The 27,180-nt window shown below is 42.4% G+C and overlaps 1 protein-coding gene and 1 long non-coding RNA gene across 6 annotated transcripts in view, besides 1 other annotated feature; one reads left to right on the top strand and one right to left on the bottom strand.

Moving 5' to 3' along the window:
• Nucleotides 1-7,706, top strand: part of KCNK10 (potassium two pore domain channel subfamily K member 10) — a 146,805-nt gene extending 139,099 nt beyond the window's left edge. For all 3 annotated transcript variants that reach the window (NM_021161.5, NM_138317.3, NM_138318.3), the window contains exon 7: nucleotides 1,659-7,706. In NM_021161.5, the coding sequence (NP_066984.1) occupies nucleotides 1,659-2,279 (621 nt within the window). In that variant the 3' untranslated portion in view covers nucleotides 2,280-7,706. The remainder of the gene's footprint in view (nucleotides 1-1,658) is intronic.
• On the bottom strand, nucleotides 7,616-27,180 carry KCNK10-AS1 (KCNK10 antisense RNA 1). Of its 3 annotated transcripts, XR_944120.2 has the most exons (3): nucleotides 21,496-27,180; nucleotides 10,662-10,742; nucleotides 7,616-7,916 (listed from the first exon to the last, which is right to left on the bottom strand). It is a non-coding gene; the product is annotated as a KCNK10 antisense RNA 1 (long non-coding RNA). The 3 variants fall into 3 exon arrangements; XR_944119.2 differs by lacking the exon at nucleotides 10,662-10,742 and having other exon boundaries at nucleotides 20,630-27,180; XR_944121.2 differs by lacking the exon at nucleotides 10,662-10,742.
• Nucleotides 22,635-22,784: an enhancer, noted in NCBI's record as "active region_8835". NCBI's record gives its function as "activates an Ori minimal core promoter by ATAC-STARR-seq in GM12878 lymphoblastoid cells {active_cell/tissue: GM12878}" and the evidence as "EXISTENCE:reporter gene assay evidence [ECO:0000049][PMID:35858748]".

Below are 27,180 nucleotides of genomic sequence, written 5' to 3'. Positions count from 1 at the left end.
CCTTCAAAGCTAAGGAGAATAGAATACAGTTATTTCTGGATTCTTTTTTTGGCAGGTGAGAAAATATGGTGATTCGTTTACCAGCCCATAAATCCTGGAAAAACTAGTAAACAACAGCTGATTTTAAAAAAATGAAAATGAAAATAAATAGGAGAGGTAGACTATGGCTGAGTGTGTGTGTGGGGGGGTGCAGCCTGTCCTTCCGGTCTCAGGGTCTGTGCAGAAAGGCAGTTGAACGCCAAGAATCTTTCCTGATTCAGTAAGAAACTGAAATCATCGAACATTGACCAGCTACGGGGAAGTGAGCCCAATGGGCCTCTTTCACTTATCCCCTCTTGGTTGTCACATCCATAGAGACAAATATACATCCCTGAGGAAGGGCCGTGCATGTAACTTTACATGAAGGGAAGTAAAGGAAGACATATGAAGGAAAGATAGATTTTGTGATTAAAAAATAAATATTCATGTAGCTCTCTTAGGAAGAGAGGAAAAGAAAGGAGGAAGGCCAAGGAAGGAGAAAAAAAAGAGCTAAAAGAAAGGAAGGGAGATAAGAAAAACCAAAGAAATAGAGGGCCAGCCTCTGTTTGCTTCATTCTGTATAAAAGGCCCCAGGAGAAAGTTGCTGAATGGAGAGATTTCCCACATCAGTTTCCTGGGCCCATATGCTAATTTTCCTGGTTTATATAAGTAAGCCAGGAAAGTAAGCAATGCAATTTCCAGACCGGTTCCCCAGACAGCTAACTGACCTGCTGAAAATCAGCTATAACAAAAGAGAAGGGAACAACATGAATATTGACTTTCCTGGATGCACAAATTTGAGTTCCTCATTTGCAGAGGGAAGCATGGGACTTATACTGTCTGCCCTGTTCATTAAGAGCCAAGAAATTTGGTGCTGATCCTCAGGCAAAACTCCACTCTAAGGAGGCCTGTTCTGTGGGCTTTGGCAGAATAGGCCGTCTTCCTGCACCCTGACTGGGGGAAGTGGGTTACCAGGTGCCCTGGAGCATCTTCTTAAACCAGGGAAAGCCCCACAGCACATGACCATAGCATGGCCCAGATAGGGTGGCCACCCATCCCAGTTTTCCCAGGACTGAGGGAGTTCCTAGGACACAGGACTCTGTTTTAAAACTGGGACAGCCTCAGGCAAACTGGAACAAGTTGGTCACCCTGCCAGGATAGAAAACCAGAAAGGCAGGGAGGGCAGAAGGCCTGCTGAACATCTGCTGTGCCCAGGACTGAGTGAGGTGCATTTCCTTGTCTCAGGTGAGCTATATATGGTCACTCAAGTGTATGTTGGGGGAATGAGGCCATGCAATTGATAAGAGAGAGCTGGAAGCCAGGCCTGTCCAACTCCACATTTTAACCTCTCCTGCAGGATGCCGTCCCCCTCTCTTTAAGTCACCATCTCCAAATCTGAGGCTTCTTGGGGTTGCCCACCACGTGTGTCTCCCTGAGCCACCTTATTTACTAGCCAATTAGGGATGGGTGTCCAGGTGGCAGAAGTACTAGGGCAGAAGGTAGCATTTGCACCTCCCCCTGGGCATGTGCTCCGTCACCTCCTGGCCTCCCCGTGGGGACACCCGAGGGCTGTGGGTGCTGGGAGGCCAAGGCAGGGAGGCATTTGTCAGCATATTGTTGCTCTTCTGTCTCTTGGCCAGGTGGGTGAAATCAAGGCCCATGCGGCAGAGTGGAAGGCCAATGTCACGGCTGAGTTCCGGGAGACACGGCGAAGGCTCAGCGTGGAGATCCACGATAAGCTGCAGCGGGCGGCCACCATCCGCAGCATGGAGCGCCGGCGGCTGGGCCTGGACCAGCGGGCCCACTCACTGGACATGCTGTCCCCCGAGAAGCGCTCTGTCTTTGCTGCCCTGGACACCGGCCGCTTCAAGGCCTCATCCCAGGAGAGCATCAACAACCGGCCCAACAACCTGCGCCTGAAGGGGCCGGAGCAGCTGAACAAGCATGGGCAGGGTGCGTCCGAGGACAACATCATCAACAAGTTCGGGTCCACCTCCAGACTCACCAAGAGGAAAAACAAGGACCTCAAAAAGACCTTGCCCGAGGACGTTCAGAAAATCTACAAGACCTTCCGGAATTACTCCCTGGACGAGGAGAAGAAAGAGGAGGAGACGGAAAAGATGTGTAACTCAGACAACTCCAGCACAGCCATGCTGACGGACTGTATCCAGCAGCACGCTGAGTTGGAGAACGGAATGATACCCACGGACACCAAAGACCGGGAGCCGGAGAACAACTCATTACTTGAAGACAGAAACTAAATGTGAAGGACATTGGTCTTGGACTGAGCGTTGTGTGTGTGTGTGTGTGTGTTTTTAATATTCACACTGAGACATGTGCCTTAAACAGACTTTTTAGTCCAAAATTACATAGCATTGAAGAATATATTTCACTGTGCCATAAACAACTGAAAGCTTGCTCTGCCAAAAGGAATCAGAGAACAAGAACTTCATTTCAGATAGCAAACGCAGGACACACCAAGAGTGTCCGTGCACGTAGCCGGTTCTGGCCGTACATGTTAAGGGCATTTCAGTGGCAGTGCTGTACCCCTGGGCAGTGCTACCTGGGCACACACGTAGACAAGGGCAGCTATTCCTTAGACCAGCCTCCTGAAAGAAACAGGTGTGTCTTTTTAGTGGAGTCGTAGTAATATGTGCACACACAGAAGGGGACCTGATTGGGTGGGAGCTGGTTATGTGTAACTAGCGTTGGAGTTGACATTTTGGCATGTGCTCTGAGCTTGAATTTTGATACCAACCATTCAGTGCATCATACCTAGTCTTTCTATGCTCCAAATGAATGTCTGTGGGGACCTGAGAGCACCTGGAATTTGTTGGAAGCAGATCAGAGCACACGTACGAAAAGGTGCAATTGCTTTTCTCATGACAAAAGAAAAAAAATAATCACAAACACATCACACTGTGGATATCACCTTAACCAATGACAGAAGCCTGCTGAGTTTGGTCTTTCTCACAGGGGTAGGTAGTCCACATGAACTGGCGAGCAGTGGTGAAAACATGACATCAACTGCTGCGTGGTTAAAGGCCAATCATGCATTTTCCTCAGTGGGTGCAATGGTGACAATAAACTGATTTGGAAATGTCCATGTACTTTGGTTATAACTTGTTTTGATAAGAGGGGTAGAAATACCAAAACAATTGCCTTGCATGATGCCAGTGGCTTGCTGTTCTGTCTAGCTGATCCTACATTTTTACAAAAGTAGACATCCTGCATTTCTGAGACACACTGAGGAGGACCATGGCATCTTTCCATCTCAGGGCTTTTTGTCCCTTGGGTGTCTTAGGGTAGACATAGTGATAAGATCCAATCTCGCTATCTCCAAACAAAAAGAAAATGTACCCCTTGTACAGTAAGCTTGAAATGTTTTTATTGCTTGCAGCGTAAGTGCCATTAATTCCATTTAACAATGATACTTAGAAATATTTAAAATATTTCATTTTACTTTTATGTTTGGGCATTCCTTTATTCTGAAAAAGTCACCACTGCTCCTTGCTTGTTTCTACATCTCACATCGGTTACTCACTAAAACTGGAACACCCTAGACTGATTGTTCCCAGGCAAACGATAAGCTAACACATCATAATTATGATTGGTCTGTGAGGCTAGAACATCCCGCAGAGGAAAGTCGGGGAATGGCTAGTCATAGGTTGCATGATGATTTTAAATGGGTTTGTATCAGAAAGGGGAAAATACATACTCCTGTGTATGCCTCAGTCTTTATCATAATTGGCTGGTTCACAGCTAGCTCTTTGGGCCACACGTGAAAGCATTTGGACCTGGCAACACCAGGCAGTTGCTGGTTATGGGTGTTCTAGGCTCACTGCTACCTTTTACAGAGTTCACGGGATTTTACGTAACTAACCCGCAGTGTGGATTTACCAAAAGATCACAGCACTAGCGGAGACTTCCAGAAACTGTCTCATGCTTTCTGACCTCCAGGGAAAGTTGTACCCACGACATCCTCAACCACTGGTACCATGGAAGACCTGTCCCTGCCCATTTCTCAAAAATGCACAGCTCTTCCCTGCCTGGAGCACATGAAGTCCCATCTCCCTGTCCCCAGACCTTTAGGCTCTGTTGAAGTTCTGGCATTGCTTATGAGACCCTTCCTGTCCAAGGAAGGTCTAAGTCAACTCCTCCATTGGACTGGAGATGAGGCTCACTGGTGACATCCTGTGTCGACTCAGTAATAAATAGTCACTTGGGAGGCGATGTTTATGCAGGTGTGGATGTTGAGTTTTACTATGGGAATCATTCCAGCCTGACAAAATGTGTTTTAAGGAATAGGTAGATAACTGGGACTTCCTCTGTTATTCTAACAAGTCGAAGCTTCCTAATTAAACTGTCCATGGATCTCACTTATTTGGTTTCCACTCTGTGTTATCTGGTACGTTCTTTGTAGCAGTGTGTTAAAATTCCAGGCCCTACGGCCAAATCTGGCAGAGGCTTCCCTCTCATTTATCCAGTGCCTTCTGTGGGCCAGGCACAGGATTAGGCACTTTATGAACGTCAGCTCATTGAAACTTCACGACACTATGTGGGAAGTATTTGCAAACCCATTATATACACAAGGACACAGAGGCTCAGGGAAGCTATGTTATTTATCCAATGGCACACAGCAAGAAAGTGGTAGAGCTGGTATTCAAAGTCTGACCAAAGTCTGCTTTCAACTTCACTACAGTGTCTGTGTCATGCATCCTTGTGATTGTGTGTGTTTGTGTGTATGTGTGTCTTTCTAGCTTCATGGACACAGCTTACAGATGTGGGGAGCAGATATGGTGGAATCTCCACCACCAAGAGGGCACAAGGTCTTTGTGTAAACATGGCTCAAAGGGTTGCCCCTGCAGACACCTACTGTACATTTATTTGGTTTTGGAAATTTTGTATGTGGCACCCTTTAAAAAATGCCCTTTGAAAGCACTCTTTTGCACTTTACTTGCTAACTTTGTAGAAACTCTGCATACAGCAGGAATAAAATAGTTCAAAGCACTAAGCTGCATACTCTACCAAATGGAACAGGTGCATGTGTTGGTATGTGCATAGATGCTTCCCCAAATGAGTCAAATCAGTCACACAGAGGGATCAAACATAACCTTGGGCTGGGGGTGGGAAAATTTTCTACATAACCCATTCCCTGAGACATTTGGCCAAGAATGTGATGAACAAAATCAAAGAAGATCCTCTATGGTGATTGATCGATTAAATATGTGTGCAAAGTGTTTAGAAACCTATGAAATACTCTCGCAAAGATGCTGAGAGAGAATAAGAGGTTGGATTCCTCTTCATATAAACTAATTTTGGAGGAGGCCAGTTGGTTTGAAGTTACTTGAATGTTACCTTTTTTAGATGGGGCCAAATGGCATGTAGAATACACGTGATAGGTCAAAGCTGCTACACATTCTATACATGCATCAGCACAGCCCCCCCTTTCCAATCTGCACTCCCATTCCAGCATAAACCTAGGAGAAATGTTTCGATTTCACACAAAGAAAGAGCACACGTCCACCATCTTCAGTGGGGGCTGTCTTTTGCTTCACTGGCAAGCAGGCACTGAATTTTTCTTGCATGACAAATCTGGAGGTTTACTGGTGAGAGAGCCAATGGGCATTTTTTCCTGGAAAGAGTACAGCTCCATACCCAGTCCTAACCCAACAGTGATATTTATCACTTTGGGGCAGGGCTGTATAGAGTGTGTGTGTGTGTGTGTGTGTGTGTGTGTGTGTGTGTGTGTGTGTGTGCGGGTTGGGGTGGTGTTGGGCCATCTCTGGCCTGTTACTAAGGTAACTAGGACTATTTGTGTTCCAGCAGTCATAGCCTGTGATTGTGGGTGCATCAGTTCTCTGCCTAGATCTCTTGTTACCTTGTCTGCACATCAAGGGAGGGAGTTGAGCACAGATACTTGTCAAGGGCCATTGTAGTTGTGCAGTTCTCTAATGAAACACTCCCTAGTCCATGAGTTCACAAAATTTATTAAGATTAAATTATAAGTTGGATTTGTGAATAATGACTAATTAATTGTCTTGCCCATTTTAGGTTAAGGTGAGAGCTTAGTCTCTTGCCCTTTGGGATTTGTCTTTTGGGGGATTAATGGAGACCAGATGTACTTGGGAGACTGGTGTCCAAATTCGGATCATGCCCTGTGTAGGCTCTCTCTATCCTCCCTTATAGCTCTTTAGTGTACTGTCACCGGGAGGGCTCATGCTGTGAGGGCATTTTTTGCATGGTGTTAAGACTAGTTAAAGAAATTTTAAGCTGTTGTTATTTGCAGTCAATTGTAGTACTTCATGTATCATGAATTCAAGTACTATGATCAGACAGACATCTCTCTCTCTCTCACACACACACACACACACACACACGCACACATACACACACACACACACACCTGAGGAAATGGCTGCTTTGGGTTCTATAAGGACCATTCCATGTTTAAAGTCCTAGTTGAGCTGAATGCTAAGAACCTGCCCCCTTGCCTCCCTCTGAGATGATATCATTTCCTGGCTTCGTCAATGCTGCCTGTCTATTTGCATGCTGGGTTCTGAGGACTAGTGAGAAGGTGACCAGAGTTTGGGTGGGGCTGGTTTTTACCCACTGGATTTGGTGAGAATATGAAGCATCCAGTGTGTACCAGGGTTTCTGAACCACGGGAAAGGCGTAGGAAAACAAACATTCAGAGCCCCTGTAAAACGAGAAAGGAAAAACCAGCCAGTGTTGCATTCCACATCTCTGCTTGTTGCATTTTGCTAATATGGGGTTATTCTTTCTCACTGTTAGGATGCAATTGTGTGCAAAGACAGTGGCTGAGTGAACAGTAAGAGCTGGCTAGTAATGGCCTTAAAAAGAAAAAGGGTAACTCTCTGAAACAAAGATCACTTTAGTGTGGCATTGTGGATGCTGTTAATTCTGCATAGGGAAACTTTGGAACAGCATGCTAATTACATGGCTGTAAGCAAAGCCCTGTCCTCTGTCTCTGCACCATACCTTCATTGGACTTCACCAACCCATCCATACTCCATGTAAACCTCAGTTCTCTCATGCCTGCCCTAAGTCAGTTGACATCAGTGCAGTGGCATTGAGGAGAAATGAGAGGTGTCTCTGATTTTACTGAAAGTTATTATCATTTTCACAGGTGCCTGAGATTTGGTATCTACTTTGTGTTCTTGATTCTTAGGTGAAAAATCTGAAATAGTTCCCTGTGCATTAAAATAAATTATTTTGAGAGGACTCCTGCTCCGTCGATTCAGCAGACCTATGCTGCAGAAGGTAACTGCGGAAGCTCTCTTTTGCTGTCAGGGCTCTGAGCTTGAAGGGAGAAGGTGCAGTGGTGCCTAGAAGTGATATGCAAACCACCTCACATGCCAGCCTCTGGCCTCCTTCCCATCCCAGAGTCACAGACAGGGGACCCAGTGACAATGATGATAAATCCATGTGTGGAGGTGTTTTACTTATTTTTCTTTCCGTAGGATTTCATGGTGCTTTAAAAAAAAAGGCATTTTACAGAAAATAATGTGGGGGGAGGGAGATTTCATAATGTTCTTAGGGAAAGTACAAAACAAATTTGCTTGTGACATTTCAATAAGCTGTGCTGCTATTGTCTTTATTTGATGATGTAATTTTTTTTTCAATGATGGAGAAAAATTGCAACAAAGACCTTCTGGAAGATCCAATCCAATGTCTCTTCTGTTTTCCTTTCTTTTCTGGGGCCTAGCGTGGTTCATAGTAGCTGGGTTGGGAGCTCTGCTCTGGACCACAGATATTTTGTCCTGAGCACAGGATAGGTGCTTCTTCAAGCTTGCACTCACTTATGACATTCATGGGCCTGTGGAGACTCACTGTCTTGCAGGAGGAGGAGCGCAAAGCAATCCATGAAGAGAAACCTTAAAAAAAAAAACAGAATTGTTGCTGCACATTTACTTTCATTTCCCTGTTTCAACCTGATCTTGATTGTACATTGCCGGGACTACACCAGCATGATAAATCACATTTTCTTGGTGAAACACTAAGTTTAGACATCGCGCCAGGTCTTCCAGTATAAAATGAACAACCCCTTGGATGCCGACATTTCATGCTGTGTTTGGTTTTGCTCTTGCTATGCATCTGCCAGCCACGGGCTTATTAATATTGAGCAGAAACAAAATGCTGACCATTTTTGAGCACCTGTTATCTACCAGTTTACAAACATCCCATTTACCCTTGCAAATGCAACCATAAATTGAATATCTTCATTTTACAGATGAAAACTTTGAGGCTCAAAGAGAATAGGAAACCTCCAACCCAAGTTAATCAGCTCCAAGCCTGAGTATCTCACTAGGCCATGTGGCTGCAGGGGACATATGCTTTCATGACTTTTCCAGAGAATGTGATGTGGTTCTTTCTGACTTGTCTTCACCGTCTCTCCTCTTCTTTTTGTGAGGGAGACATGCCATGGTTTCAAAGGTGTATTCCCAACTGTGTGTCAGAGCAAGTGTAAGTGGTCTACAGTTCTTCTATCTTCATGTCTTTGCACCTGCTATCCCTCTGGAAGTCGTCCTCACTGATGCGCCACTTCCCCCATTCCACTACTACCTGACTCATTCAAGTCCTCAGAACTCAGCTGATGAGGTAGCTCCAGGAAGTCTTTCCTTACTTCTCTCCATCCCCTTGGAGTTAGCTGCTTTCAACACAGCTTGAGCTCCCCTCAGTGATAGTGCTGCTTATGCTGGGTTTTAAGTGCTAGTTTCCTCGTCTGTTCCGTGCATATTATAAATGCCTCAGGGCAGAGATTGTGCCTTTCATTTCCATCCTTAGCACTCAACAGGGTACCTGATACATTATAGAAACTCAAATTATTGGTGGGATAATCTTTTTTTTTTTTTTTTTTTTTGAGACGGAGTTTCACTCTTGTTGCCTAGGCTGCAGTGCAATGGCACAATCTTAGCTCACTGCAACCTCCACCTCCCGGGTTCAAGTGATTCTCCCGCCTCAGCCTCCCAAGTAGCTGGGACTACAGGCATGTGCCCACCATGCCCAGCTAACTTTTTTTTTGTATTTTTAGTAGAGACGGGGTTTCACCATGTTGGTCAAGCTGGTCTTGAATTCCTGACCTCAAGTGATCCATGCAACTCAGTCTCCCAAAGTGCTGGGATTACAGGTGTGAGCCACCGTGCCCAGCCTTGGTGGGATAATCTTATTACCTTATTAATCACACATTTTCATCCTTCAAGGCAGATTTAATTTGTTCAGGAAGCGGAAGTCATTTGGAGCCAAGACTGGCAGCGTAAGTAACTTATCCAACTCCTAAGTATCATTTTGGTCAAAACCAAATTTGCCTATAAAGTAATGAGTTTGATTTGTATTTCGGATTTACAGTGAACTCCAATAGTTTAATCACAGTGATAGTTGTTGAAATAACTAGATTCTAAACATGACTACTATGAAGGACAGCTTTCATTTGTATGTATAGATAATGGAATGCTTATTTAAAAACCAATCGTATTACTGTAGATAGAGTTTGAGTGTCTGTATACTTAGGAAATATGAGATTATGCTTTGCTCCTGTGCCCAAGGCAGGCATCATTCATCAATCAAATAATTCCTTCCCTACTAATCCAGGCACATTCTTAAAATCTATTTTAAGGTTACATTCCCTGTTAGCAGTTCTCAAAATATGGCCTAGTGATCCAAGTAGGACTCTGAGATTCTTTCAGGGAGTCCATGAAGTCAGAATTATTTTCAGAGTAGTAGTAAGGTATTATTTGCCTTTTCCTCTCATTTTTTCATGAGGGTACAGTATTTAGAATAAAGTAGCATTAGTCACTTAGAGTAACAGCAGCAAGGTAATCTGACACTTTATTGACCATCAAAAGAATTTTCCAAAATGATAGTAAATGGGCCTGTATTTCTTAGAGAACTCAAAAGTACCTGGATATAAAATAATTGTATTAGAAAGGGCTTCTTGCTTATCCTCATAGGAGTGGATCATAACAATGACCATAAAACAATATTTATCTGGCCCTGCCCTAGCTTCTCTGTGGGCCTCCAGTCCCTACAGTCTCTCCCCAATTAGTTCCGAGAGTCCCTAGAGAGGTCTCACATATGCTATTTCTTGGCCATCATTCCACAAGAGCACCAGCTTTCTAGAAGCCTTTCAGCAACTCCATGACTGGATTAGATGGCCTTCCAATGATCCCCTGGTAAGAACAGTCCCCCGGTTTTTGACATTTGTCATCTTCCCCACATCGAGAGTTCCTAGAGGGAGCTCTCTTTCTCTCATTAATTTCATGGGCTTGGCACAGTGAATAGACGTGGCAGGAACTTGGAAGATAGTCATTGAATACAGAGCAAATCCAAAACTGTGGTGTTGAGCAAAGGGGCTCTGCAGAGAGTCGGAGCAGAAGGGAGCCCAAATTTGGGGTGAGCTAGAGGGGAAGTCAGGAGGATGCAGTGTGTGACAGGAGTCCAGGACAAAGGATAGCAGTCCAGACAAATGGAAAATATGTTGGGAGATTTCTGAAGACAGAATACCAACCACAATGGCAGCTTTTTATCTGGTCACCTCCATGAACTTGCATCAACCAAAGAAGCCAGAGTGGCGCAGATACTCTTCCAACCAAACTATCCCAGTTTTAAAATGCAGTGCACACCTGGCTCTACGGATCTGAACTGGCATACAGGTCAGCCTCCATACATGTTCTTCATGTGAAATATCTCAAATTTTGGATGACCTGTTCTTAGAAATATATTTAAAAAGATGTAAGAATCTAAAACTAAAAAAACATTGTCACACAAGTTATTATTAAGACAACTGTTTATTAAATGAATTTTAAAGGTCATTATTCATTATTTGGAATCATGCAGGATAAGTAAAGATTTTTCCTCACTTGGAATGTGATAATATTAAAATATTTTCCAACATAATAATTGATGCTGTTGTCTGTAAAGTGCCTATATTGATGGCTCTTTTGAATTGTTTTGCAAATGCTTGAAGCAAAAAACAATCACAGGACCTCAATGAGATACGAATTTATTTTGAAATGAAGAACGTTTTTTAACATTCTAGCATCAACAGCCTTAGTTGGAAACATAAGAAATAGAAATACACATAATGCCAGCATAATTTATGGCTGTGCGTTTCAGTATTTTATATAGAACATTAATCAATACCTTAAATAACATTTTGTTCTTCAGTTATTTGATTTCATAGAAAAGTAACGGGCCTTTTCATTATTTCCGTGAGCGAATATGAACCCCAAACATTTTTTCCCAGTGAATTATTGCTGAGGAAAATAGGAGAAATAGCTAATGGCAATAGCAACTGGTTAAGATTGTATAATCCATTCATTCATTGAATAAATATTTATGGAACCCTGTGATGTATGAGGCCCTGGGAAAATGATGGAACAACTAGGTCATGTTCACGGCCCTCAAAGTTTTGCACAGTAGAGTTAGGTAGCTTTGAGCAATGTGCTCTGGGGAGGTAAAGAGCTGGCAGTAAGACTGTATATAATTGGGTTCAAGAGTACAAGAAATTACCACAAAATTGATAGGAATTAAGAGAGTGTGAGGATCAGTTTGCATTTTGTCAGTCAAGGCAGGCTTCCTGTAAGACAGGGCATCTTAAAGATGGTATAGGACTTGTTAGGTAGCAGAGAAACCTGAATGGCTCCAAAGCATAATTCTGCTTAATTAAATATTCTGATCAATATCTAAGATTGATCTGTTTGTCCAGAGAATACTTCAAATATATACTCATTTGAGATTACTTTGTTATAAGACATTTTCTGTGAAGGGGGGAATGCTTTAAAATGACTAAAACAAATTACAAACTCTAAGCCAAGCTTAAAAGATAAACAGAAAATCGGTGCTACTGGTCACCAGCTACAACAGGAATTGTAACTCCTTCTGAAAGCAAGTGTGATTGAATAATACACAGTATATTAACTTTTCTCCCCTCTCCTTTTACTTCCCCCTTTCCTCTTATCTTGCATCAAGCAGATCCCAGATTTTGGCTTCATTCTAGGGAGAAACACAATGGTAGGAGTATTCCTCATTGTTTGTTTCAAAAGTCAGTCTCACAAGATTTCATTTGACAGGGAGTAGAGTGATTTGGAATGCAGTGATGGGAAAGAGAGGTTTCCCTTTCAGGTTGGGGACAGGGCAGAGAGGAGTCTGGAGTCCCACACAGGGGGCCTGTGTCTAGCCCCTGAAAAGAAAGGACAGCACAGTGGGCTTCAGCATAGAAGACCCAGGGCAGCCCTGCCAGAGGGCGAGGGGCAGTGTGGGTAGGTGCAGAGTCCCAAGATCCCAGTCCAAACCTTCTAAGAAAAAATTTCACATGCTCCCAGTTGGGTGGGTCTTGAAACTGATGTCATGATGATCTACAGAAAATAAAGTTCTTCACCACTTCGTGCATATCTAAACCGTTTTTTTCTCCTTCTGACCAAAATGGTTCTCTTCTTGGTTTGAACCTGAATGATTTTGTTTCTTGGGTAGAAACAGAAGATCATTTTTCTCCCTGATTTGTGGAAGATTCACACCATAGAAACACTTTGTATTCGTGCGTTGTGCCATGAAATGCACAGTCTCTTTTTGAGAAAGGGTTGGGGAGGCAGTTTCCTGTAGCTAGAGGCCAGAAGCACCTGCAATTGAGCTCCTGTTTTCCAACCTCTTTCTGCCTTGGTGGGCGGGTGTGGGTGCCAGAGACAAGAGACTCCCAAATGCTGAGCCGAATCTGCCTCCCCTCTTAGGCAAAGAGGAAAGGGAATAGGGGCAGAATAGTGGGCCTGCTGTGGAGAGAGAGATCCAGTTGGTCCCATAGCCAAACCAGCTTCCAGGTCCTGGCTCCAGACCCCTCAGGGCCTGGTTGCCCTCTGGGAAGCTAGACTTATATTGAATGCCCACTGTTGGGCAGCTTCAATAGCTCAGCCCTGTGGGAGCTGGGATGCAGGACCAATTTTCTGCCCACACGTGGAAGGGCTGGGACAGAGAAGGGGACCTTATGAGACCAGCCCCTCCAAGGGGCCAACTGAGTGCTCTAGACAAAATAACTCATCCATGGCATCTGAGGCATGTGTGAAGCCAGCTTGACCAGAGGACCTTTGAAGAAGATTCAAGGCAGACGCTGAAAATGCTTGGCTTCAATTCAATACATCTCAAACTAGTGTGAAGGCAGAGGGGGTCAGTTAGCACTAAATCATATGCCAAGCCCAAGCAATATGTCAGATTTTGTACCTCTGCCCAAGAAGCTCCCATCTGTTGAAGGTGAGACAGACAATGTTTTTTGTAGTTATGGAATAGGGAGACAAACATATAGAAATGTCAGTGACTTTATTAAAGCTACAAAGCAGGCCCTCTGCTCATGTATCTCCCTAGTTTATTTGTTGTTTTATTTAGGCTCAGGGGGTACATATGCAGGTTTGTTACATGGATATGTAGTGAACACTACATCCAAGTAATGAACACTGTACCCACTAGGTAACTTTTTACCTGGAACCCCTCCAGCCTTCCCCAGTTTTGGAGTCCCCAGTGTCTATTATTTCCATCTCTGTGTTCATGTGTACCCACTGTTCAGCTGCCACTTATCAGTGAGAACATGTGGTATTTGATTTTCTGTTTCTGAGTTAGTTCACTTAACATAATGGCCTCCATCTCCAACCATGTTGCTGCAAAGGACATGATTTCATTCTTTTTTATGGCTGCGTAGTATTTCTCGGTGAATATATACCTCATTTTCTTTATCTAATCATCTGTTGATAGACAGACACGTAGGTTGATTCCATATCTTTGCTATTGTAAATAGTGCTGTGACAAACATATGAGTGCAGGTATCTTTTTGATATAATGATTTCTTTTCTTTGGGTAGACACCCAGTGGTGAGATTCCTGCATCAAATGGTTATTTTTCGTTCTTTGAGATATCTCCATACTGTTTTCCATGGGAGTTGAACTAATTTGCATTCACACCAACAGTGTATAAGTGTTCCCTTTCTCCACTTCCTTGCCAACATCTTTTATGACTTTTTGATAGTAGCCATTCTGAGTGTTGTGAAATGATATCTCATTGTGGTTTTAATTTGCATTTCTCTGATGCTTGAACACTTTTTCATATATTTGTTGGCCACTTGTATGTCTTCTCTTGGGAAGTGTCTACTATGTCACTTTTTAATGAGGTTGTTTTTTTTTTCTTGTTCATTTGAGTTCATTATAAATTCTAGATATTAGTCTTTTGTTGGATGCATAGTTTGCAAATATGGTCTCCCTTTTTAAAGTAAGATTGTCTGCTTACTTTGTTGATTGTTTCTTTTGCTGTGCAGAAATTCTTTAGTTAATTAAGTTACATTTGTCTATATTTGTTTCTGTTGTATTTGCTTTTGAGGTCTTAGCCATAAATTCTTTCCCCAGGACAATGTCTGGAAGAGTTTTTCCTAGGTTTTCTTCTAGGATTTTTATAGTTTCAGGTCTTACATTTAAATCTTTGGTCCATATTGTGTCATTTTTTGTATATAATGAGAGATATGGGGCCCAGTTTCATTCTTCATAGCTATTTAGTTTTCCCAGTACCATTTATGTCCTTTCTCTATTACCTGTTTTTGTTGACTTTGCCAAAGATAAAGTTGGTTGCAGGTATGTGGCTTTATTTCTGGGTACTCTATTCTGTTCCATTTGATCTACATGACTTTTTTTTTTATTCCAGCACCATGCTGTTTTGTTTGTTACAGCTATAGCTTTGTAGTATAGTTTGAAGTGAGATAATGTGATAGCTTCAGCTCTGTTTCTTTTGCTTAGGATTGCTTTGGCTATTTGGGCTCTTTTTTGTTCATATGAACTTTAGGATTGTTTTTTCTAATTCTGTGAAAAATGACATTGTTAATTTGATAGAAATTATGCTGAATCTGTAGATTGCTTTGGGCAGTCACTTTACCACTATTGATTCTTCCTATCCATGCACATAGGATGTTTTTCCATTTATCTGTGTCATCTATAATTTCTTTCATCAGTTTTGTATTTCTCCTTGTAGAGACCTTCCACATCCTTGGTTAAATGTATTTCTAGGTATTTTATATGTTTTCGTGGCCATGATAAATGGGATTGAGTTCTTGATTTGGTTTTCAGCTTGAGTGTTTTTGGGGTCCAGAAACGCAACTGATTTTTGGATGTTAATTTTGTATCCTAAAACTTTACTGAAATTGTTTATCAAATCTAAGAGTCTTGAAGGAATCTTTAGGGTTTTCTAGGTATAAAATCATGTCATCAGCAAATAGATAATTTGACTCCCTCTTTTCCAAGTTGGATGCCTTTTATTTCTTTCTCTTGCCTGATTTCTCTGGCTAGGACTTCCAGTACTATTTTGAATAGGCAGGGTGGGAGTGGACATCCTTGTGTTGTTCCAGTTCTTAGGGAGAATAATTTCAACTTTTTCTTATTCTTGATGTTGGCTGGGGGTTTGTCATATATGGGCTGTTACTATTTTGAGGTATGTTTCTTTGATGTCTATTTTGTTGAGGATGTTTTTTCATGAAAGGATACTAGATTTTATCAAATGCCTTTTCTGTATCTATTGAGATGATCATATGGGTTTTGTTTTTACTTCTGTTTATGTGGTGAATCACATTTATTGATTTGTGTATATTGAACCATCCTTGTATCCCTAGAATTTTCTTTTGATGTGCTATTGGATTCAGTTCACTGGTATTTTGTTGAGGAACTTTATGTCTATATTTACCAAAGATATTGGCCTGTATCTTTCTTTCTCTGTTGTGTCCTTGCCAGATTTTGGTAACAGGATGATGCTGATTTCATAGGATGAGTTAGGAAGGAATCTCCCCTCCTTGATTTTTGGGAATGGTTTCAATAATATTGGTACCAGCATTTCTTTTTACATTTGATAAAATTTGGCTGTGAATCTGTCTTGTCTTGGGCTTTTTTTTCCTGTTGAAATATTTTAAATCACAGATACAATTTTGTTACTCTTATTGGTCTGTTCAGGACTGCTGTTTTTTCCTGATTCAGTCTTGGAAGGTTGTATGTCTCTAGGAATTTATTAACTTCCTCTAGATTTTCTAGTTTGTGTGCACAGAAAAGTTCATAGTAGTCTGTGATGATCCTTTTTACTTTCTGTGCATTTGTAATGTCATCTTTATTATTTCTGGTTCTGTTTATTTACATTTTCTCTCTTTTTAATGTGGTTATTCTAGCTAGTGGTCTATCAATTTTGTTTATCTTTTCAGTGAACCAACTTCATTTCACTGATCCTTTGTATAGTTTTTTTTGGTCTCAATGTCATTGAGTTCTGTTCCAATCTTTGTTATTTCTTTTCTTCTGCTAGCTTTGGGTTTATTCTTATTTTTATAGTTTCTTGATGTGTGATGTTAGGTTGCTAATTTGAGATCTTTCTTTTTGATGAAGGCATGAAATGCTATAAACTTCCCTCTTAATACTGTTTTTTCTCTGTTCCAGAGGTTTTTGTATGTTGTGTCTCTATTTTCATTTGTTTCAAAAATATTTTTGATTTCTGTCTTAATTTCATTGTGTACTGAAAAGTCTTTCAGGAGCAAGTTGTTTAGTTCCCATGTACTTGTGTGGTTTTGAGAATTCCTTTTGGTAATGATATTTGATTTTAATCCATTGTGATATGAGAAGATACTTGATAGGATTTCATTATTTTGAATTTATTGAGACTTGCTTTACGGTTAAGGATATGGTCAATTTTACAGAATGTTTTATATGCAGATGAGAAAAATATTCTTCAGTTGCTGGGTGGTATGTTCTGTAGATGTTTATTAGGTCCATTTGGTCAAGAGTCCAGTATAATTCCAGAGTTTCTTTGTTAGTTTTCTGCCTTGATGATCTATCTAGTACTGTCAGTGGAATGTTGAAATCCTTCACTATTTTTGTATGGCTGTCTATATCTTTTCTTAGGTCTAGCAGAATTTGTTTTATAAGTCTGGGTGCTCCAGTGTTGGGTGTGTATATATTTAGGATAGTTAAGTCTTCTTTTCTAATTAAAGTATGTTTTATCTAAGAATAGCAATTCCCTACTGTTTTTTGTTTTTCATTTGAGTGATAAAACATTTTTCATCCCTTTACTTTGATATTATGGGTGTCTTTATACATTAAGTGGGTGTCTTGTAGGCAGCAGATGGTTGGGTCTAATTTTTTAAATCCAATTTGCCAATGTGTATACTTTAAGTGGAATATTTAGGCTGTTGACATCCAAGACTAATATTGACATGTGAGGTTTGTTTCTTTGTTAATATTGACACATGAGGTTTGTTTCTTAGTGTTGCTAGCTAGTTGCTTTGTAGTCTTAATTGTATAACTGCTTTATAGGATCTGTGAACTTTGCCCTTATGTGTGCTTTTATGTTAGTGAGTATTGTTTTGTCTTTTTGTTTCTGTTTAGAACTACTTTGAGCATTTATTGTAGGCTAGGTCTAGTGGTGATGAATTCCCTTTGCATCTACTTGTTTGTGAAAGACTTTATTTCTCTTTTGTTTATGAAGCTTAGTTTATTAGGATATAAAATTCTTGATTGGCATTTTTTTTTCTTTAAGAAGGCTGAAGATAAGCCCTCAATGTCTTCTGATGTGTAAAGCTTCTCCTGAGAAGTCTGCTGTTAGTCTGATGGGATTTTCTTTATAGGTGATTTGACCTTTTTATCTAGCTGACTTTAAGATTTTTTCTTTAGCATTGATCTTGATGGTCTGATGTCTGTATGCCTTGGTGATATTCATCTTATATAGTACCTTGCAGGTGTTTTCTGAAATTTTTGTAACTGAATGTCTACCTCTCTAGCAAGATCAGATAAATTTTCCTGAATTATTGCCTCAAATATCTTTTCCAAATTGCTTACTTTTTCTTCTTCTCCTGTCTCAGAAATGCCTATAAGTCATAGGTTTGGTCATTTTTACATAATTCCATATTCCTTGAAGGCTTTGTTCATTTTTTTAAAAAAATATGTTTATTTATTTTTATCTGACTGAGTTAATTCAAAGGACTGGTCTTCAACCTCTGAAATTCTTCTGCTTGATCTAGTCTATTGTTAAAGCTTTCAACTGTATTTTGAAATTGCTGTAGCAAATTTTTTATTTCCAGAAGTTTTGCTTGTTTTTAAATATAGCCACCTCAGTCGGGTGTGGTGGCTAATGCCTATAATGCCCGCACTTTGGGAGTCCAAGCAGGCAGATCACTTGAGTTTAGGAGTTTGAGATCAGACTGGCCAACATGGTAAAACTGTCTCTACTAAAAATACAAAAGCTAGCCAGGCGTGGTGGCCAGCACCGGTAGTCCTAGCTACTGGGGAGGCTGAGGCAGGAGAGTTCCTTGAATCCAGGAGGTGGAGGTTGCAGTGAGCTGAGATCGTGCCACTGCACTCCATCCTAGGTGACAGAGCAAGACCCTGTCTCAAATATGTATATATATATAACATATACGAGACATACATATGTTGAATTGTTTTTCCGATTTCTTTATGTTTGTTTTCAACTTTCTCTTGGATCTCATTGATCCTTGAACTTTCTCTTAGATCTCATTGATTGCATTGAGGTCTTCCTTACAGTCCATATGTTGAGTTCTCTGTCATTTCAGAATTTTCATGTTGGTAAGGATCCATCGCTAGAATGCTAGTTTGATCCTTTGTGTCAGAACTGTTTTTTTGTACTGCTAGATTTCTTGAGGTGATTCCTTCTCAACTAAAGAAACTGTCGCTTCTAACTTTTGAATTTGCTATTGTTTGGCTAAGACTTTTTAAAAATTTATTTTCCCTAGAAGGTATGACTGTGTTGTATATTGTGTATGACCATTTGGTTTCATTTCTGGGTGCTTTCAGGGGACCAAGTCTCTGTATGGGTTCCTTGGTTATGGAAAGCTTTTATGCAGTGGTTTTTTCAAATACTGCTTGTTGGAGTGATGTATTGGGTCTATAACACACAAGACTGATGCATATTGACACACTATCTTCTGCAGGGCTGGGAGTGTGGAGATCTTAGGAAGCTTGTCTCCCACGCTAGCACTGTGCCCTTCTGGCAGGCTTATTTGGTGGTGCTGTTTGGTCTCCATGCCAGTAGGTGGCACTAAAGAGTAAAAGCTGGCTAGCCCTTGAGTAGCCTGGTGATGAGTGTAGGCATCTGCCCTCATGTGGAGTGGAGTTGGAGTGAGGGGGTGGTGGGGGAGTTGTGCTGGGATATGTTGAGGTCTCAGGGCTGGGGGCAGGGGTAGGGGGCCGCACCAGCTCCTTGCCCTGGACAGGCAAGAACACAATCTGTTTCCCTATCATGCCCCTGTCACAGGGCTCAAGACTTTCCGTTTGTATAGACGTTGTCCTTTAGCTTCTGGCTGCAGTGTGAGTGAGGTCTGCAGGAATCCTCCTCTGGTGGCTACCACTGAAATGGGCTTGGGACAGAGCCTCTTCCCCCAGTCTAGGACAGACAGCGCTGCAGCTTGTCTGCCATCCATTTCTGGGATGCTGCCACTCTGTATAGGAAGAGAGAGATAGGTCCCGCCCTTCATGCAAGCCTGGGGTATAATGGGCTCACTTTTAACAGGGGTACCGTTGCTGCAAAGAGCCCTGGAAAGGCTGTCTCTAAGTGCACTCACGCCAGCCCCCATCAGGGAAAGCCTCTGCTGTGACTGCAATGGTGGACAGGGGGAGCGGAAGATGACGCCCTCTCCACGTTTGTCCCTGGTCCCTGGTGCTGCCCCCTTTAGCAACTGGCATCACCCCAGTGTGTTCTTTTTTTTTTTTTTTTTCACCAAAGGGGACTTGTACTTTCCCTTCCCCTCTCCTCCCTGGTTTATTGTGTTATAAGATGTAGAGAATTGGCTATCCGTGCAGCAAGACAGCACAATGTGACTCCCATTAAATAAAAACAATGCTCGTTGCTTACAGTGGTAGGGGATTCTCCCCACTTCTATACTATAAGCCCAGGCTTCTGGGTCTTTTCTGACAAAGAGACCCATAGATGTCCCAAAGGCGATTAGAACAAAGTAAGAGGAGGCCTCTTAAAAAGATTTTAAAAAAATCAAGAGGTTAGAATTTTCCGGGTTAGAATCCCCCAAAGATACTGTACATGAAGCCCTTGCCTCTGTGTTAGGTACACACATACACACACACAAAATTAATGACTCTATTCTTAAATATTTAACTACTTATTATTTACTATTAAAGAGTAAACATTTAATTATTTCTACTATTACTAGTTTTATCCTCTGCTGTTATCTATACAAAAAAGTATAAATGATCCAGTGGAAAAACCTCACAACTCATTGTTTGGCCACTGAAGGCAAATCTGCTTCCTCAAAGAATACATGTCCCTTTTCAACTTGCTTTCTTTTCTTTTTGAACTTGTTTATTTTTATTCCAAAGAGAAACTGAAGAGCCTTTCAACAGTTGCTGGCCCATCGAGGAGTTTAAACCTGCCAGTCTCTCATGTGCATCAGAACCAAAATGCAATTACTCTTTGCTCTGTGTGTGTATGTGTGTGTGGGTGGGTGGGTGGGTGTGTGTGGCATCCTAGGTACCAGACAACTTCAGTGACTTGCTCAAGGTCACACCCACCAGCGGTGGGTGATGGGGCCGGGATATAAAATCAAGACATGTTTAACTCCAGATCTCACCTTCTTCTTATTGGCACTTCACTGCCATGAAGCCTCTAATCCACTATGAAAACCACATATAATAGAAGGAATGGGGACTCCAGGAGGTACCACCCACTTCTCTGCACCACCTGGGGCCAGGGAATCTTATCTCTTCCCCAAGTCACTTGGATGAGTTTTCGTGGCCAGACTACTGACTCCAGAGGTTAGGAGTTCTTTTTCCCATGGGTAGAAAAATGAGCAGCAAACAACATGGGTGCTCTCTGCCAATGGAGACTTACTCCCAAGCTCTCCTTTTGCTGAATCTTGGCTAAAGCATGCAATTAAGAGTCAGGTTCAAGGAAGTGGGATGCATGGTAATGACTCATACCTGAACACAAACAGCATTCCACCCTCCCTCCCGTCTGTTCCATTTTAGGTGAGGAAGCGCATCAGCTCTCAGGTTATGATCTGGCTGTAATACTACAGTGATGCCAGGGAAAGTCAGAAAATTCCCAGCTAGCATGTCAGGCAGCCCAGGATAGGGAGTGTGACTTGCCCAAGGTCTTAAAGGGAAAAGGCGAGGTCATGTCTTTGCTTTCCTCTTATCCTGTCTCCCTCTTTTATTCCCTATGACCCATCCTTTTAGAAGCAGTAAAGGGCAAAGTTCTGGTAGAGGGAAGTGGGTGGACTTACCGTTTATGTTGACATTTAGAATACCACCCACACTGGACCTCCTAACCACACCAGACCTCCCAACCCTGATGCTTTTTCTTCACTATATGTGGCTCCCAGAGAGAGAAAATGGAGGTTACAGGTTCCTTTTCCACCTCTCCCTCCTTTCTGTTTCTCTTTGCTTTCATATTCTTGAGCTCTGTGATTAATCTCCAGCCTGCGAAATAACTGACCTTTAGCCAGAGGCTCCTCTTGCAGGTTGAGATGGTTTGACTGCAGGTGGTACTGTTGTATCCATCATCTTCATCTGTTTCATGAGGACCCTTTTAAGTTTTGCATGATTCTATTCAAAAACACCTCTTGGCATTTAGAGATCATTTCGCATTGAGAGAGGCCACTTCTCTCTGGTCTTGGGAGGCCAGGAAGACTGGCCTGGGGGAGATTTGGGAGCTGGGGGTATTAATGGTATTTGTGTGCACTTTGGGATTCAGTCTCTCTATGCCTTGTGAATGTTTACAGTTTTTCTTTCCTTTTTTTACTCCCTAAAAGGTCCATCCCATGAGTCTTGCAGGGTGTAGGAGGGGTGGGTAGTAATGGTGCAGAAATGGGCATCACGTGCGATGGGCCTTGAGCATTGTGCCTTTCTTTAGCACGGATGTGACAGGCAGTGGCATCAGGTCCCATTTTCCTGCCTTGTGCAGAACCTGTGCCACTGCCCTGCCACGCCAGGCAAAGGACTCGAAGGCCCTATTTCCTGGGTTCACATGAGTCAAGAAAACCTTCCTTTGTCAGCCACTGGATAATTACAATAAAAGGGGTATTGCCCCCTTCACTGCTGTCAAACAACAGATTCCTCCCTGCCCTCACAGTCTGCCAGGACACTCCACTGAGAGCCCTGCATTGCCAGTGGCAGGTCTCTGCTATCCTGCTCTCCCAACCCCCACTTTCGGGATGTCTTTATGAGTCCCAAATCACCATTCCTCTTTACTTCCAAACTCCTCCTCAGGAACCAGCCATCTTAGTCCAGATTGTCTGAATGCAACAAAACAATAAAGGGAAACCATCCATTTTGCTGTGGCTTAGAATTGTGGTAACAGCCACAGAATAATATTTCTCTGGCACTGCCCCCTGCTGCTCTGTAGGGCTCCAGCACTCCCCTCCCCCCAGCCCAGGTTTCTCTCAAATAGTCCCAAGAGTCCCTTGATGGTGACTCTTTCATGAATTACTCATTATTTTCCTCTTTTGCTGCTCGTCTGGGTGAGGGCTCCAAGCTGCTGTCAATCTTCAAACTGACAGGTAGGCCATGGAAGATGCCAGAAGGTCCTGTGGCTGAAGATTAGCTACAGACGCCTAGCTAAGTTCCAGGGAGGTGCTTGTGCCAAAGGCATGTAAAGCATCACTATCAAGCCCACTGCTGCTGCTGTTCACACTGCCTTGAGTCACCAGGGAGATGTCACATATTTTCTGTATGTGTGTCAGTAAGACTCAAGAGTGGCTATTTCTAGTCATTTACATTTTGGTGACGGTATTTATAACTCAAATTTTCACTTTTGTTTTCATAGGTTGGACCTTGGAAGAACCAAGGAGAGGAGAAGCCTCAAGCCCTCTGTAGTGAAGAGCCAGGAGAAGGGATGTGCAGGGGCTCAGAGTCTTTCCAGTCTCCACTGGGGAGGGAAGAAATGGGAAATGAGATAATTGGGTCCAAATCACAGTCCCAGCAAAAACTCACTGCAGGTTATCAAATTTGAACTCAAAGACCGAGACCTGCCAATATAGGGACAGAGAATGTTGAGGTCACTTAGCCTAACCTTCCACACAAAGCCCTGATCGTGTCTGCAGTAATCCAGATGGATATTTCTCTAGCTGCTGTTTGCACATTTCCAACCTGAGTGAGAAGAGTCTGGGATGGAATTCCATATTCCTGCTGTGGCACCCCCACACTTGCATGCCAAGTTCTCCTTGGTTTACATAAAATAGAAAGCATTGTCTCCCACCACACACTTTGGGGCCCCAGGAACATATTTTGGGAAAGTCCATGACCATCTCTGGGAGTCGAAACTTTCTGGTAGTTACCATTGCCAGGCTTCCAGCCTTATCAGCTGCTCAGTGCATGGAGGTTGGCACGCCATTGAAGTGACAGAGGGGAATAAAAAGAGAAATGAGGTTACGAGGATAAAAGGCACAAAATATACACCTGCCAAGAGGTTGGATGGAGGCAGCAACAGTCAGGGTGGTTTCAAACTTAGTGTTCAATCTTCTAAAGGACATTTGAGTTTCAACTGAAGGGAGAACATGGACATTTCCTTCATTTACCCCTTCACCCAACACATATTTACTGAATGCCTACTGTGTGCTGGGCGTGGTTCTCCATGGTGGAGATTCAGAGAGAGAGGTAAGACAGTGTTTCTCCCCAAAGGACCTCACTGTCTAGTGAGAGTAAAACCATGAAGCTGATCAATGTTACAGGATGTGGCCAGTGCAATGAGAGAGGGATGCCAAGTGTTGGGGCAGAGGTCACACACAGAGGAAGGAGGCAGGAACCTTGTAGCAGCTCGCCTAGGGGTATGGGTAGGTGAGGGTTCTAGGCAGAGTGGAACCATGAGCAAAAGCACAGAGATGCAGCAGTGAACTATGAGCCATGGGGAGCTGTTATAATGGAAAGACCAAGATAAGGGTGCGGGGGTAGCCAGGCCCATGGCCACTCAAATACTATGTTGAGGAACTTGGACTTTATCCTGCAGGCCATGAGGCAGCACTGAAGTTTCGTGAGGAAGTGTGAGGCCAAAGAGGGGAGTACCATGAAAACTTGGTCTAGGACCACAGACCAGAGCCATATCGTGACTGTAAAAAGAGCTTCCAGTCCCGTCAGGGAGGAAAGCAAGAGTTCATACATACGATTGGGTGAAAGAGACTTCTTCGCCCAGCTAGAAAACAGCTTTTCAGAGATGCAAACCTAGTTATTTTGAACTTTGACTCAGTGGCTTCTGTTTCTCAGAAACAAATTCTACAAAATTTTCTGGGTTTTTTTAGCTGTGGATTTGAGACAGGAGCTGCTAGCACATTTCAGTCCTCATTTCATCAGCAACTATATACATGCTCATCAGTTACTGTCTACAAGCCCTTCTTTCCTCCCTTTCTCTCTTCTCCTTACCCCTCCTTCCCTCCCTTCCTTTCATATTGATTGACTGCCCATTCATCAATGTGAACAAAAACTCATCAGTAATTCTTTCCACCCAGGGAACCCCTGACCTTTTAGAGATTTCTCTATGCCATTCTTACTTAGGCAAGGCCAAACAGACTGGGCTCCATCGTAAGAAGAGAAGAGAATGGGATGAAGAGTGAAAATATGCCTGAGGGTGGGAGCTAGTCCTCCTCTTTATAGAGTTTGGTTATGAGGGGCTGTGGTGTGGGAAAAATGTGGGACATTTCTGTGGTGTAGACCATCAATCAAGTAGGTAACCAGGAGGTAGATGTCGAATCTTGACTCTTCTCCCAACACAGTGTCCACTGCCATCAACTGACAGAGTGGTCTTCCAAAGAAAACATCAATTTGGTTAACAATAGCAGGGAGGACCCCAGGCTGGAACAGTAAGTTTGCTTCTCAACATCAGCCTTTCTTTTTGCCTCACTTTGGCCTCCAAATTGCAGCTTTATTCTTTTCCGTTTTGTCAGATGTATGCATGGGGTGGAGGTGTGTCAGAGGTATTTGCCTGCCATGGGAGATCCTAGAAGGCAGAGTCCCGTAATGTCATAATGTCAGCTGAAAAGAGCCTTAGAGGTGAGCTTTGCAGTCACTCCACATTTTTTTTTTTAAGAAAATACTTGTTTGCTAAGCTGTGTGTTAACTTCTGGCCCTGGCTCTCAGGCGAACAAAGGATAGGGCACAGTGTTCTGTGTGTCCAGCCCCAGGTTTGCCCAGTTTGGGACTATTGAGGACACTGACAGAGAATATAGCTTTGAATATAAAAAACAACAGTTATTCTTCTGAGAAAGAAAACTCATATTTATTGAGTGTCTATAGGTGCCAGCAAGTATGAAGCACTTGGCATATATTAGCTTGGTTTATACTCATAACCATCCTGTGAGGTAAGGATGATAATTCTTATTTTATGGAAGAGAAAATACATGCCAAACAAGAGAATTTTCCCAAGTCACAAAGCCAGTAAGTGCCAAAATCATGATTCAAACTCAAAACAGCTCTCTCCAAAGTCAACGTCCTTGAGGCACGAGAGAAATACGTCAGGATCCTAGAGAGAAGAAAAATGCCAAGGTGGAGAGAAGGGCAATTGAGAAGTCTCACAAACTTCCGAATATGAATATGAGTAGAAGGAAAAAAGGAAGGACCGTCACAAAATAGAATAAGCACAAAAAATCTTATTTTCCTATAGCCAACCTCCTCCCTTTTTTTTATTAGGACTCATAAAATTCAATAGTTATCTGGCTCAGTAGTATTTCTCTTCTAAATGATGTGTTTAAAAATATGCATGTTAAATTTCATTTCTGGTCTTTACAAGACCAGAAACACATGAGACCTCTTCACTATTGGGCTGAGCCCATTGCATTTTTCAGAGATTCCTCAAAATTTTCTGAGCATTTCAGCTGTCTACAGTGATGAGGGAATTTTGTGCACTCCACATTGCTTTCCAGTACTAGTGCCATAGACATTCAGCACTCACTACAGCAACTCTCTGGGAGCTCGGAGATACTTTTCTGAAGCTTAATCTTGATCACAGCCTTTCACTCACATCACTGACTTTTGAAATTAAAAATCCCAGCCATTTCTATAATTTTTTGGATTCTTACGGTAGGTTTGGGATGGGAGATGGAATAAGAACTCCAGAAAACTATTTACTTGGCTTTTTCTCAAAACTTACTATGATTTTCTATCAGCCAGGAGAGCAATCTCTTCTTCTTTTGCTTAGCTTTGGAAATAAGACCAGCAAAAAATACATTGGATGGTTCAGGGATAGTTGGTGGGTATATGGTGGAGTGGTGTGTGTGTGTGTGTGTGTGTGTGTGTGTGTGTGTGTGTGCGCGCGCGCGCGCGCGCATGTGTATATACTGAGGTTGGGCTGAAGGCATTTTTCCTCAGGGAATGACCACTGAAAACCACCTCTCCTGCAAGGTTAACTTCTTATAGGAGAATTAAAAACTAAGAAATCAGGTACTTGCTTTAACTATTATAATGAGAAATGGGAAATGATTCTGACCAATAATATCAAAAATCACAATATTAGTCCAATTTCTTAAAGTTTACTTCTCAACTTAGATTCTGTTAGCTATTCAACAAACACTTCTGCAGTGCAAAAACAGTTCAAAAAATATTTAACTGAGGCACGCTATATTGATGTTCTACTGTTTTTCGCCTTGCCTAATGGTTGCTTCCAACTAGACCTGAAAATTTGGGGTGATATACAGGGCAAGAACTATAATTCCTGTATCCCCTCAGGCTCTGCTTACCCACCCACAAGTTGCCTAGAAAACTCCACATTTTTTGCCAACTCTTCAAGTCACTTTTCTCTCAAGCTTGTATTAGAGAATAGGTTACCTGTTCCCCTGAAATCCTATTCATCTCCCACCTGATTATTGGCAACTTAATTTATTTTAGTGCCCCAGTGGAGCCTGGCCAGTAGTAGGCAGTCAATGAATATGGACAGAAGAAAGGAAGGGTGGATGGGAAGGAAAGGAGGAATGGCAGGAGGGAGGGAAGGGAAAACCTGTGGCCCCAAGTCATTGTGAAATTCACACTGAAGAATGAAATTCACACTAAAGGATGCAGCAAAACCCATAAGAATCACTTGTGAAGGAAACGAAAATGATGAGAGAGTTGGAAAAATTAGATCTTAACCCCGAGATTCAACAGAGAGAAGCTAGTGCTGTGTCTCTGAGTGGGATTCAAGTGCAGTGTTAAGAGGAAT

Source organism: Homo sapiens, chromosome 14, assembly GCF_000001405.40.
Source record: "Homo sapiens chromosome 14, GRCh38.p14 Primary Assembly".
NCBI classification, from domain to species: Eukaryota; Metazoa; Chordata; class Mammalia; order Primates; family Hominidae; genus Homo; species Homo sapiens.
This window is presented reverse-complemented; position numbering and strand designations above follow the sequence as displayed.